Source organism: Homo sapiens, chromosome 15 (assembly GCF_000001405.40).
Source record: "Homo sapiens chromosome 15, GRCh38.p14 Primary Assembly".
Taxonomy (NCBI): domain Eukaryota; kingdom Metazoa; phylum Chordata; class Mammalia; order Primates; family Hominidae; genus Homo; species Homo sapiens.
The window spans coordinates 64185596-64200444 of NC_000015.10; the positions used below are offsets into that span (position 1 = coordinate 64185596).

Below are 14849 nucleotides of genomic sequence, written 5' to 3' on the forward strand. Positions count from 1 at the left end.
GCTCACATCTGTAATCCCAGGACTTTGCGAGGCCAAGGCAGGTGGATCACTTGAGGTCAGGAGTTTGAGACCAGCCTGGATGACATGGCAAAAACCCATCTCTACTAAATATCCAAAAATTAGCTGGGTGTGGTGGCACGTGCCTGTAATCCCAGCTGCTCTAGAGGCTGACAGGAGAATCGCTTGAACCCGGGAAACAGCAGTTGCAGTAAGCCAAGATCGCGCTACTGCACTCCAGCCTGGATGACAGAGCCAGACTCCATCTCGAAAAAAAAAAAAAAAAAGAGAGAAAAAGAAATATGCTTATTTTGTAATTATAAAAAGACAAGGATAAACCATAATGTTAAAAAGGAAAATACCAAAGAGCTGCTCTTGCAGCTCTGTTTTGAACAAGCTGCTCTCTTCTATTGGTGTACAGATCCCAGGATCTCCTAACTTTATTATTATATTAGGGATTCCCTTTGTTTCTTTCCTGTGCTGGATCTCTGGTTTCCTGGATCCCAGATATTCCTTTCTTTTTATTTTTTTTGAGATAGAGTCTTGTTGTGTCGCCCAGGCTGGAGTGCAGGGGCGCAATCTCAGCTCACTGCAACTTCTGCCTCCCGAGTTTAAGTGATTCTCCTGCCTCAGCCTCCCAAGTAGCTGGGACTACAGGTACCCACCACCACGCCCAGCTAATTTTTTAAAATTACTTTTTAGTAGAGATGGAGTTTCACCATAGTGGCCAGGCTGGTCTTGAACTCCTGACCTTGTGATCTGCTCACCTCGGCCTCCCAAAGTGCTGGGATTACAGGCATGAGCTATTGCACACAGCTGCTACTCTCTTGTTCTATTAATTCTGATAACACACATCCTCATGTGGCTTCACAAGAAAGTGTGCCTGAGAAATAAAATTGAGTTTTTTGTTTTGTTTTGTTTTGTTTTGTTTTAAAGAGACAGGGTCTTGCTCTGTCACCCAGGCTGAAATGCAGTGGTACGATCATGGCTCACTGCAGCCTCAAACTCCTGGGCTCAAGCGATCCTCCCGCCTAAGCCTTCCTGGCAGCCAGGACTATAGGCACATAGCACCACACCTAGCCAATTTTTCTGTTTTGTGTAGAGACAATATCTTGCTATATTGCCAGGATGGTCAAGAACTCCTGGCCTCAAGTGATCCTCCTGCCTAGGCTTCTCAAAATGCTGGAATTATCGGTGTTAGCCACTGTGCCTGGCTCCTAAGAGCAATGATTTTTTTCTCTTTTTTTTTGAGACGGAATCTCAGTCCATCACCCAGGCTGGAGTGCAATGGCGTGATCTCGGCTCACTGCAACCTCTGCCTCCCAGGTTCAAGCGTTCTCCTGCCTCAGCCTCCTGAGTAGCTGGAACTATAGGCATGCGCCACCATGCCCAGCTAATTTTTGTATTTTTAGTAGAGACGGGGTTTCACCATGTTGGCCAGGATGGTCTCAATCACTTGACCTTGTGATCTGCCCACCTTGGGCTCCCAAAGTGCTGGGATTATAGGTGCGAGCCACCACGCCTGGCCATCCTAGCTAATTTTTTAACTTTCTGTAGAGATGAGCTCTCCCTTTGTTGCTCAGTCTTGTCCAATCCATCATGGTTTTTTTTGGGGGGGATGGAGCCTCATTCTGTCACCCAGGCTAGAGTATGCAGTGGCATGATCTCGGCTCACTGCAACTTCTGCCTCCCAGATTCAGGCAATCCTCCCACCTCAGCCTCCTGAGTAGCTAGGATTACAGGTATGCGCCACCGGGCCTGGCTAATTTTTTTTTTTTTGTATTTATAGTACAGATGGGGTTTCACCATGTTGGCCAGGCTAGTCTTGAACTCCTGACTTCAAGTGATCCACCTGCTTTGGCCTCCCAAAGTGCTGTGATTACAGGAGCTACCACGCCCAGCCTCAATCCATCATTTTAACCTATATGATCCTATGTGGTTTTCTATAGGGCCAAAACTGTCTTTCAAGCTGTGATTAAGATCTTTCCATGAATCACTCCTTGTAACAGCATATCCTAGATGATCAAGGCTACCAAGATGCATTTCTACATGTACAAACCTGTCTGCACCTTTATAAGAATTTATGTTTGACAGCTCTGAGTTCACTGTGTGTCCCAACTGATGGTGTCACTTACCAGTATGAGAACAATATTGAGGCTAAGATTATTAAAAACATTCACATGTAAGACAAGTTAAGAGATACCAGATGTTCTAGTACTAAACAGAAAAAAGAGATTCAGAATAGCCCAAATGAAATCAGAAATAATTTTCTTAAGATCACATTGATTCCAGGGAGAAAAAAGGAAACAGCCCAACTTCCTGGGTACCCACTCAGAAACAGATGACTTATACAAATTAACATTCTCAGCTTATGCGTTAAGGCACATATCATGGAATGAGCAACATATGCAGTCCTTTAGTCCTCTATTCAAAAAATACTTGTAAGTTTCAGGTCTTTACAATTCACAGACTTGACACTAACACAATCCTACCTTGATGTTATTTTTATGGTTTATCATGAATGCATCAAGGTGGTAGGACTAGGTTAACCAGAAATCAGTATCAGAAATCATATAGATGTTTCTTAGTCAATGACAACAGGAAGTAATCATTTTAACAAGCGACTCTTACCCAAGTCCACCTAGACAGAAAATCTACAGAGATATTCAATTAGCCCTTCCTGTAAGCTTCCTTTCTAAGGCTGCCGAAGGTTCAGAAGCAAGCCAACATTCCACCAGCCAAGCTGGAAAGGCCAGGAAAAGGCAATAAAGGCAGTAAATACCTGCACTGATCCCCCATGGCGGTCTGCAGCCAAGTGAGACGTTAGGTATGAGGTATTGGTCTGCCGGCTGGGCTGAATTTCCCACTCTCCTCGGCGCTCTGATGATACATTCTGCTTAGGCGTTAGAAAGCATGAGAGCAAGATATGGAAGGAAAGGTGAAGCAACAGCAAGCAATAACAAAATCAAGTACATTCGTGTCCCTGTAGGTTTTTCTTTCGGTTTTGGATTTTAAACTAACAACCACTGGAAAGCAGTGAGGAAAAGTAAGCTTGTCTACATTCATTTTAGCCTTAATGAGTCAATACATGAATCTATATCACACCCTCCTTACCCAGAACCAGAAAACCAATAACGACCAAAAGAGGAGGGAGGGGGAAAAAACACACAGTCAAAGCTGGGATCATCTTTTAGTTTCCATAGAGGTAAAATTTCAGTAGCCACTAAGCAGATCAAACTCAGAATGTTAAGATTGTTCGGAGTGGTGGCATACGCCTATAATCTCAGCACTTTGGGAGGCCAAGGTGGGCGGATCACGAGGTCTGGAGTTCGAGACCAGCCTGACCAACATGGTGAAAGCCTGTCTCTACTAAAATTACAAAAATGAGCTGGGCATGGTGGCGCACACCTGTGATCCCAGCTACTCGGGAGGCTGAAGCAGGAGAATTGCTTAAACCCAGGAGGTGGAGGTTGCAGTGAGCCAAGATCGCGCCACTGCACTCCAGCCTGCGCGACAGAGCAAGACTCCATCTCGAAAAAATAATAATAATAATAACAAAAAAAATAGCTACATCGTTTGCCTGGTTCTTCTAGCTAACAGCGTCTAGACTGAATTAGAAAAAGTTTACTTATTAATATGATACTATGAATTATTTTCTTCTGGAAAGCAAAAGGAGGGTCGACCTTCAACTAAAAACCTCTTTGGATTCTGCTTTCACCTTAGTATCATTCAGGCTCTCCTTCTTTACCTGCTTTTTACATCTGCTACTATTCTGATCTTGCTCATATGTGACTTTTGTCCAGAAGAATCTGTTTAGGTGCCTCTTCCCCTGTGCCAGATGGCTGAGTTGTTAACATCATAATGCTCAGCTGTAACAGTCCTAAGGCTCTACAAAAATGAAAAATGAGTAGTTGGAGAGGCAGCAATGAGGGATTAGTAAATCAAATTTTAATTGCTGCTGATATAAACAGCTGCAGGGGTTAGGATGTGATATTGCTGCTCTGCATGAAAACCAGAAAGGACTATAAATCTTACAAATGTTCACAGCTATAAAAGTTGTATTCTATAAAAAACGAAGGGCAAGGAAGTAATGGTTTGAGGGTCTATATTCACTCCCCATATTTCAGTATCTCATTGACAAGAGTTGCTTAAAGCTCACCCGTAAGTCACCAAAAAGGCATTTCTCGTAAAAATCAGAGCTTTGTACACCAGCTACAATTTACTTTTTTTTTTTTTTTTTTTTTGAGACGGAGTCTCGCTCTGTCGCCCAGGCTGGAGTGCAGTGGCGCATTCTCGGCTCACTGCAAGCTCCGCCTCCCAGGTTCACGCCACTCTTCTGCCTCAGCCTCCTGAGTAGTTGGGACTACAGGCGCGCAGCACCATGCCCGGCTAATTTTTTTTGTATTTTCAGTAGAGACAGGGTTTCACCGTGTTAGCCAGGATGGTCTCGATCTCCTGACCTCGTGATCCGCCTGCCTCAGCCTCCCAAAGTGCTGGGATTACAGGCGTGAGCCACCACGCCTGGCCAATTTACTCCTTTTTATTAATGGAATACGAAGTCATATGGACAAGAGTATTATAAAGGATCCTGTTCATATTTTCTCTGCTCTTCCTCAGAGAATAAACATATTCTATGAGAAGGCAGCTGTATGGACTTGCTCTATTACCTTATAAATGAGGGGTTTGATTTTATGCTGCTAGTTATGTTAGAGAGAATCAAAGCTACCCAAAATATTCCCCTACTACAATTATTTCTGCCAAAAGAGGTTCAAATGTTTCATTTTCCAAAATAAGACTGGTGTACAACATAATCATAAACTTATTTTTATTTTTTTGGTTGAGATAGAGTTTCACTCTTGTTGCCCAGGCTAAAGTGCAATGGCGCGATCTCCGCTCACCACAACCTCCGCCTCTCAGGTTCAAGCGATTCTCCTGCCTCAGCCTCCCAAGTAGCTGGGATTACAGGCATGTGCCACCATGCCTGGCTAATTTTGTATTTTTGGTAGAGACAGGGTTTCTCCAGGTTGGTCAGGCTGGTCTTGAACTCCCGACCTCAGGTGATCCACCCGCCTCGGCCTCCCAAAGTGCTGGAATTACAGGCGTGAGCCACCGTGCCGGCCATATTTTATAAACTTACTGACATTGTCTATATCCTCAGAGCACTTAGTCTCATTTATTCTGACTGCTGGAGATCTGAGAATAAACCTATTCTTGTAATATTAGAAGTAATATCTATAACTAAACCTATCAGTGATAGACTTTTTCAGTTCTCTAGAACTTTTTATTTTTTGTAATATTGAAATATAATATTTAAGCTCTTAAACTATTATACAGTACTGTCAGGTTTCTAAAAACTTAAGTGCTTAAAAAAATCCAGACAATGGTAAGCCATTTAATGTTGAGTTCTATAATACATACTAAATGCAATTACATCTCATGAATGCTCTCTGTTTTTGCATTTGTTTTTTTGTTTTGTTTTGTGTTTTTGAGATGGAGTCTTGCTCTGTCACCCAGGCTGGAGTGCAGTGGCACGATCTCGGCTCACTGCAAGCTCCGCCTCCCGAGTTCACGTCATTCTCCTGCCTCAGCCTCCCGAGTAGCTGGGACTACGGACGCGCGCCACCAGGTTGCTAATTTTTTTATATTTTTAGTAGAGACGCGGTTTCCCTGTGTTAGCTAGGATGGTCTCGATTTCCTGACCTCATGATCTGCCCGCCTCGGCCTCCCAAAGTGCTAAGATTATAGGTGTGAGCCACGGCACCCAGCCTGCATTTGTTTTTGAGGCAGATAAAATAGAAAATGGCTGGAAATGTATGTTCATGTATACTCATGGGCTTTTAAAGTTAAGAAAACCCTGGACAGCTGATCAACAATTATTTCCATTTTTACTGACTACACATAAGAACTCTGGTTTTATGCTATTGTCTGATTCACAGGGCTATGTGGTTCTTTATATTCATTCTAGTTCAATAAATAATTTGTTGAAAGATTTAAGATTTTTGTTTAAATGAAAATACCAAGACATTTTTCAAAGGCCTAAAAATCACATTCCATCTCCATTCTCAAAGCAATATGCTATTTATCTTTTAAAGATAAATAGAAAACTAATGTTAACACTCTAGATTGCTTCATAAATGCTTCCACTATGATGAAGGAAAAACACACTATACCATACTACTGCCCGCCAATGCCTTCTGTATCTGTTGAAAACATCAAAACTAAGTACAGATGTGAACCTAGGGGTTGCGGGTTTATTACTTTGGAAGCAAGTTTTCGGTAAGATGTTAAATTCTAGGGCTACTGTTTTCTGGAATTTAAGAGCTTGGACCGGTATCTAGAGGATAACATAGTAGAAAGGGCCATTTGCAGTTTTAGAAAGCAACAGAATGCCTAGGAAATAGATGAAACCAAAGAAAGCTGACAACTACAGCAGTCTGCTAGTGTAACTCTCCAAGAAAGGTATTCTAGGCAATACTGTGTACACAGGAGTTATGATTAGGCCTCATCAGCACAGTAGCTAGTTAGATTAAGCAAACTAGTGGAAGAGATCAGCATGTAAATCCTTCATTCTTAAAGATCACTCATGCATACACATCTAATTAAATGTCACTCAAGAGGTGCATGAGTAGAAAAGTCATTCAGCAAAGTCAATTTCTCTGCATTACTTGAAAAGCAGAGCTCCACATGGAGTGTGTAAGTCCCCCAAAGCAGGAGCAGGAATCTCAAGTAGTGGTAACTCCTTGGGGGAACGCTTTAAAATTTTCAGTCGTGATTGCATCACCTTCATGGAAATGATTGGTTTACTATGTAGTAGGTAAATCTTGAAACAAGAAAGTAGCAATCCAGCATAGCATAAATGAAAGGTAAAGGTAACAAAAATACTTGAGAAAACACAGAAGACTGTTGAAAAAGTGAAAACCCCCACCTATGCCCTATGGCAGGGGAAAAAAATCTCTCCCAGCATTCATTTGGCAGGGATTAATGTAAGAGTGACACTAACAAAGTGCCATAATCCCAGCACTTTGGGAGGCTGAGGGGGGCGGATCACCTAAGGTCAGGAATTCAAGACCAGCCTCGCCAACATGGTGAGACCCTGTCTCTACTAAAAATGCAAAAATTAGCCGGGAGTGGTGGCATATGCCTATAGTCCCAGCTACTTGGGAGGCTGAGAACCCAGGAGGCAGAGGTTGCAGTGAGCTGAGATTGTGCCACCACACTCCACCCTGAGTGACAGAGTGAGATCTGCCTAAAAAAAAAAAAAAAAAAAAAAAAAAAAAAAAATCACCAAATCCTATTCTTCATAAAAAACTCATTTTAAAAAATTATTTTTGATTACATATACAAACAACTTTATCTACTTCACTTTATGGCTCAAAAAATACCTTAAAAGCTGCCATTTATAAAGAAACATTTTGGCCTCTCATGTAAGTCTTCTCAGCCTCATTAACTGTCTTCAACTATAAACTAACAAGAATGAGACTGAATAGTACCAAAAGGTTAGCAAAGAGAATATACTGGATTACATTCTGGTTTTATCACACTTCCAATATTAAAATTTCTTTTTTTTCTTTTATGATATGGTGGGGGTAAGACGGAAGAAGAAAAGAATGGAACAGGAGCCAGCTGTGGTGGCTCACGCCTGTAATCCCAGCACTTTAGGAGGCCGAGGTGGGTGGATCACAAGGTCAGAAGATTGAGACCATCCTGGCCAACACGGTGAAACCCCGTCTCTACTAAAAATACAAAAAAAATTAGCCAGGCATGGTGGTGCACACCTGTAGTCCCAGCTACTCGGGAGGCTGAGGCAGGAGAATTGCTTGAACCTGGGAGGCGGAGGTTGCATGAGCCGAGATCGCGCCACTGCACTCCAGCCTGGGCAACAGAGTGAGACTCTGTCTCAAAAAAAAAAAAGTATATACTTGAACAAAACTAAAAACTTCCTTCTATTAAGCTCATGAAACATAACCAGTTTTCCCATGCCAGACAGGGGTTATGCCATGTAATCTGTCATTTGTGCAGAGATATCCTGTATTCTATAAACCTTATCAAATAGGAGGGAAGTTTAAAAATCACTGACAACAACCTGAAAAGGGGATTATTCCCAGGCTCAACACTATCCAGAGACGAGAGTATCAATTCTGTGACGCTTTTAGAAAAATCACGGAAACCACCCTAGAAGTCTGCAATTCTCTATTCAAACTCTGCCCTATCCTTACAATGGTGTAAGATACCTCCCTAGGAAATGTTGGTTTATCTAGATAGGATTACTTCAGAATCACCAAGTTTCCTCCTACAAGGAGCTGGGTTAGAACACAGGTGTCTGCTGAAATACAAAACACTTAACACATACAGAAAGAAAAAAACTTTTAATATGGAATACAGAATTAAGAGAAGAGGTGAGCCGCAGTGACTAGGTGATAGAACAGAAGACGCTAAGGAATCTATTTTCAGTTTTGCACTTGCTTGTTTCAAAGCTCCTCTCAGAGTAAAGGTCCCAGAAATGAGGAGGGGCAGACGTCTCCTGCACTGAGCTCTATGTGGAGCTGTGGCCATCCTGTGGCCAGGAGGAGTGTGCAATCTCTGTCTGTGCTCCTACTGGATGGCAGGCAGCATGTTAGGAAACTGCACGCAGGTCACAAGGAGGCAGATTATCTCTGCGCAAACTTAGCCCCTTCAACTAGCAAACCCTGAGCCTCGGTCAGAACTAAACAGTACTCTGTAAAAAGACAGAAACAAATAACTATATCAGCTTTTTTTTTTTTTAAGGTATTCATTTTATGAAGATAACTGACTACCTTGCCTATTTAGCAATGTGGCCTAATGTTTCCTTTAGAAAAATTATGCTCATAACAAGCTGTAGTCACTAAGCATAACAGCACAAAGCCACAATATATTTTTCTTTTTCTCTTCTTTTCTTTTCTTTTCTTTTTTTTTTTTTTTTTGAGACAGAGTTTTGCTCTTATTGCCCAGGCTGGAGTGCAGTGGTGCGATCTCGGCTCACTGCAAACTCTGACTCCTGGGTCAAGCGATTCTCCTACCTCAGCCTCCCAAGTAGCTGGGATTACAGGCATGAGCCACCATGCCCAGCTAATTTTGTATTTTTAGTAGAGACAGGGTTTCACCATGTTGGTCAGGCCGGTTTTGAACTCCTGGCCTCAGGTGATCCACCGCCTTAGCTTCCCAAAGTGCAGGTGTGAGCCACCGACCCCAGCCAGCCACAATATATTTTTCTAAGGCTTTATGTCCTTTAAATGTATTCCCTTACAGTCTAGATACAAACAAATCCAAAACACTCTTTTACTGGAGGCATATCTTCTTCAGACCTCACATGATTTGACTCTTAAATTCTGCGTTTATTTTTCCGTGTATTATAAGGTATTGAGTTAGTTTAAATATGGTTCTTTTGGAAGGATGAGAGATTACCTTTACTGATCTTTGATTCATATTTTCCTAGTCAAATTGGAGAATTTGCAAGGGAACAGTCCACCTAGTACAAAATTACAAAGAATAAATTCTTTCCCTTAAACATATGCTACGCATCTCTTTTCACATGGCGAATGAAAACAAAACAAAACAAAACACCTATGCTACACATACAAAAACACAAAAAAGAGTAAGTGACATTTTGGGGTAGGATACCATGTCTGTTACCATTTAAAAGCTTTTAATAGTCAATATGACTCTCTCCACTGTCAAAATGGGATCTGTTCCTCTAACCTGCTAGTTACTAAGTAGCCCTTCTTTTTCACATACCCACAACAAAACCCACCATAATAAAAGAGGTCAGCCAGAGAAAAAGGAGACGCTATCATAACTCCTGAACCATTGCGGTGTAATGTTTATGTAGCATTTACGTAAGGATTGTCACAAGCTTGGATTTAAAGTACTGAAAGGGCAGGAAGAGTGCTGCTGCATGCACATAGTAGTCAATGCAACAGTCTACATTTACTGTGTTGAACAAGCACACTGAATAAAACCTATGACAGTACAATATGTTGTACTCTAATATCAGATCTGTGGATACCGGCAGGACTTACTTCCTGATTGAATTTGATCAGATAATGCAAAGGACGTTTTGCCAGGTAGAAGCAAGCAGGCAGAACTATTAAGGTTTTCATCCCCTTTCTGCCGGATTGTAATACGCAGTTCTTTAGAGAGGAATCAGACCCATGGCAAGATTTACAACTTTTGGTACTGGGAAAGGACAAACACGAAGTATAAAATGATGGAAAGACTAACTCAACTGGGATCTTTCTGAATGGATCTAGCTTTTAGGAACGTTTATTCTATCCAAATTCATAGTTTAATTATAGTTCTCTAGTTAGGTAAAATTTATGTTCAAAAAAATTGTGCTTGGCCAGGCATGGTAGCTCACACTTGTAATCCCCGTTACTTGGGAGGCTGAGGCAGAAGGATCACTTGAGCCCAGGAGTTTGAGACCAGGAGGCCCTGTCTCTACAAAAAATAAATAAACATTAGTCAGGTGTGGTGGCTCACGCCCATAGTCCCAGCTGTTTGGGAGGCTGGGGTGGGAGGATTGCTTGAGCCCAGGAGGTCAAGGTTGCTGTGAGCTGTGATCACGCCACTACACTCTATCCTGAGAGGTGGAGTGAGATCCCATCTCTATTAAAAAAAAAGAAGTGCTTGGAATAAAGATAGTTTTAAAAGGCAGATCCAATATATGTGAGTTTAAATGCAGTCCTTTAGGAACCATATTTGGGATTTATTATTGTATATAGATAAACCAAACAGTACTCAATTCAATATACCTAAAATCTAAACAAGCAAAGCAAAATTTTCCCAGAATACAAGGAAAATAGGATTCTTGTTGTGATGGAAAAGAACTAATAAGATCACCTGAACTTTTTTTTTTTTTTGAGACGGGTTTCACTTTTGTCCCCCAGGCTGGAGTGCAATGGCACGATCTCGGCTCACCACAAACTCTGCCTCCCGGGTTCAAGTGATTCTTCTGCCTTAGCCTCCCAAGTAGCTGGGATTACAGGCGGGCACCACCATGCCGGGCTAATTTTGTATTTTTTAGTAGAGATGGGGTTTCTCCATGTTGGTCAGGCTGGTCTCGAACTCTCGACCTCAGGTGATCCGCCCGCCTCGGCCTCCCAAAGTGTTGAGATTACAGGCGGGAGCCACCATGCCCAGCAATCACCTGAACTTTCTTTGCTGCAAAAGACTGCTCTGTGTGTGTTTTTTTTTTTTAAACACCCCTCCCCTTGAGCAGACAATCCAGCCCTACTCTAGCTGCCAAACAGAGGCAAAATGGCTCTTTGTGGAAACAAAAACGAGTAGGAAGAAAAGCTTAAAATTTATTTTTCAATAAAGGTTAAATAAAAATCTATGCTATAAAAAAATATCTATTTACATCTGCACCCTTCATTTGGCAGATTCATTCATTCACTCATTCATTCAAACAAGTATGCATCAAGTGCCCACTATTCTAAACATTGGTTTGGGTGTTAGGGTTAATTAAAGCAGTGAACAAAACAACAAAAACCTCTGCTCTTACAAGGCTCCAATTTGAGAATGCTGACACCCTAAATAGGTTAAATGTCCTATGGCCAAAGTTTTGGGATAAGATAAAACCAAGGTCTGAGCTCTTCTTTCTCCTTCTACTGTAAGTATGAGACTAAACAGTTTGTTGAGCCCTAGGCTCAGATTTCCCAGAATAAGGAGACTCTTTAGGCATTATCATCAATGTCATCTCTATGCCTTGACTCCCAAATATCTCTCTAGTTGTCTCTGGAGAACCATCCTCTGCCTGCTAGACCTCTTCAGGTGGAATACATTGCTAGTATTTCAAACTCAAGATGCCTAAATTCAAATTCCAAACAAGTTCCTCCCCCAACTTTGCCATCTCTAGTAATAGTACCACATGCCTCCTAATTATCCAGGCTCAAGATCTCTGCAACAGCTTTGACTCTTCCTTCTCCCTTAATCCTGACATTCATGTGGGCTGCCAATTCTGGTAGATTATATCACTGTAGCATTGTTCAATTCTGTTTCATTTGCCCTACTATAACCCATCTAGACTCCCTCTACATCTCAAGGGAATTCACTGCCTGCTTAATGATTTCCATGTTTGCTGCCAGACTAGTACCACATTCTGTGCCAAAAGATTTCAAAAGCAGAGTTTTAATCATATCACTCCTTTGCTTAAAAATCTTTAGTCCCTATTCCTACTTAAAATAAGCACCAACTCGCCAGCCCAGCATTCCAGGAGCTTCACCAAATGGTTTCAACCTACTTTCCTAGCCTTGTCTCCTAGGACTCCTTTACTCGCATCATATATTTTAGAAAACTGAACTAGATAAAACATTTGTTGTTGATCATATATTCTTCTGCTTGGAATGCCTCTTCCATCTCATTTAATTCTGCTAAAAGCATGTCAAATGCAGCTTCTCTCATCAAATTATTTGTCTTGCTCAGACTAGATGAAATTTCTTCTTCCAAACCCAGATGATAATAATTTGCAACTTGGGATGCTTATCTGTTCTGCCTTGTGTTATAGTTATCTGTCCATTTGGCTTATCTACTTGTCAGCTCTTTGAGGACAAGGACTCCCTACTTGGTATCCACAGGATATACTTTTTTTTTTTTTTTTTTTTTTTTGAAACAAAGTCTCTGCTGCCCCGGCTGGAGTGCAGTGGCACAGTCTCATGTGCACTGGCTCACTGCACAACCTCCGCCTCCCAGGTTCAAGCAATTCTCCTGCCTCAGCCTCCCAAGTAACTGAGATTACAGGCGCCCACCACCACACCCAGCTAATTTTTGTATTTTTAGTAGAGATGGGGTTTCACCATGTTGGCCAGGCTGGTCTCGAACTCCTGGCCTCAAGTTATCCACCCGCCTCAGCCTTCCAAAGTGCTGGGATTACACGTGTGAGCCACCTTCCCTGGCCCACAGGATACAGTTTCACATAGCAGGTCCTCAGCTCAGATTTACTGAGTCAAAGTTGCTGATGAAAGGTTAGCTGTTCCTAAAGTCAATACCTGTCAATCTCGCTCAAGGAGAAACTGTATTTTTCTTTTGCTAATTTCAAAACTTGAAAGGAATTAGTCTAGAAAATCATCTTGTTTTCAATTCTTAGAGTAATAAGAGAGAGATTTGGCTGCAAATTTTCTTAAAAAAAAAAAAAGGGCATAAGAAAACAATCCTAAAGATAGAAGAAATGTAATATTAACATAGACCAAAGGTTGAACAGACACTAGAAATCCATTACCCAGAGTGCATAGTGCAGAAAGAATTTTACCCAGCAAGGATTCAGAATCCTGGTGGGAAGGCGTTATAACATTTACATCAACGTGAAGGAATTCCAATCTCTTAGCAGCCACAGGATACTAAAAACTCTAAAATTAAAAAAATAGGGCCAGGCATAGTGGCTCCCAGCATTTTGGGAGGCAGAGGTGGGCAGATTGCTTGAACCCAGGAATTTGAGAACAGCCTGAGAAACACAGTGAAACTGTCTCTACAGAAAATACGAAAAAAAAAAAAAAATTAGCTGGGCGTGGTGGCGTGTGCCTGTAGTCCCAGCTACTCAGGAGGCTAAGGTGGAAGGATCACTTTAGCCCAGGAAGTTGAGGCTGCAGTGAGCTGTGATTGTGCCACTGTGCTCCAGCCTGGGCAACAGAGTGAAATCTTTTCTCAAAAAAAAAAAAAAAAAAAAAAGAAAAAGAAAAGAAAAAGAGAAAAAAATATATATCAAAGAGAGATATTCAAGATTCAACTTTTCAAAAATAAGCATAGTAGTTAAATACAGATGAGATTTTCCTAAATAATTATATACTGTGGTCAGAGACTTTTCATTTAAAAGTACATTGAAATTCACTACTCAGTTTTTACCCTGACAACCGAAGTTTTCAATCATCTCTTTTCCTCATACTTTAAAAATCCATGCAAAACCACAGCATTGGTTATAAATTCACTGAAGCAGGAAAGTAAAGGAAACACATATTTTAAGATAGTCTAGGACGGGCGCGGTGGCTCATGCCTGTAATCCCAGCATTTTGGGAGGCCGAGGCGGGCGGATTGCCTGAGCTCAGGAGTTCGCAACCAGCCTGGGAGACAGTGAAACCCTGTCTCTACTAAAATACAAAACATTATGCAGGTGTGGTGGCGTGCGCCTGCAGTCCCAGCTACTCGGGAGGCTGAGGCAGGAGAGTTGCTCGAACCCGGGAGGTGGAGGTTGCAGTGACGCGAGATCGCGCCACTGCACACCACCCTGGGCGACAGAGCAAGACTCCATCTCAAAATAAATAAATAAATAAAATTTTAAAAAAAATTCTATCACATTCTAAGAGAATGGAGGTAAAAAAGAATTTTAAAAAATAAAAAATATTCTAAAAAATAGGCACAAGGTGCCGGGCATGGTGGTTCATGCCTGTAATTGCAGCACTTTGTGAGGCTGAGGCAGGTGGATCACCTGAGGTTAGGAGTTCCAGACTAGCCTGGCCAACATGGTGAAACCCCATCTCCACTAAACATACAAAAATTAGCCCGGTGTGGTGGCAGGCACCTGTAATCCCAGCTTCTCAGGAAGCTGAGGCAGAAGAATCGCTTGAACTCAGGAGGCGGAGGTTGCAGTGAGCCAAGATCATGCTCCAGCCTTGGTGATAAGAGCTAAACTCTGTCTCAAAAAAAAAAAGAGACACAAGGATATATGTTGACTGTGATATGACACTACTTATCTATTTTTTCTTTACATACATTTTCTACTTAAATGCATTTTTGTTTTTTGAGATGGAGTTTCTCTCTTGTTGCCCAGGCTGGAGTGCAGTGGTGCCCAGGCTGGGGTGTAATGGTACCATCTCGTCTCACTGCAACCTCCACCTCCCAGGTTC

General features: G+C 41.8%; 1 protein-coding gene across 4 annotated transcripts in view; it reads right to left on the reverse strand.

Moving 5' to 3' along the window:
• CSNK1G1 (casein kinase 1 gamma 1) overlaps nt 1-14849 on the reverse strand; it is a 190649-nt gene that overhangs the window by 20071 nt on the left and 155729 nt on the right. Inside the window, exon 11 of one of the 4 annotated variants that reach the window (NM_001329605.2) lies at nt 2780-2890. The exons of the other annotated variants lie outside the window; for them this stretch is intronic. Within the exon in view, the coding sequence (NP_001316534.1) occupies nt 2780-2890 (111 nt within the window). The remainder of the gene's footprint in view (nt 1-2779; nt 2891-14849) is intronic. 4 annotated transcript variants of the gene reach the window in all.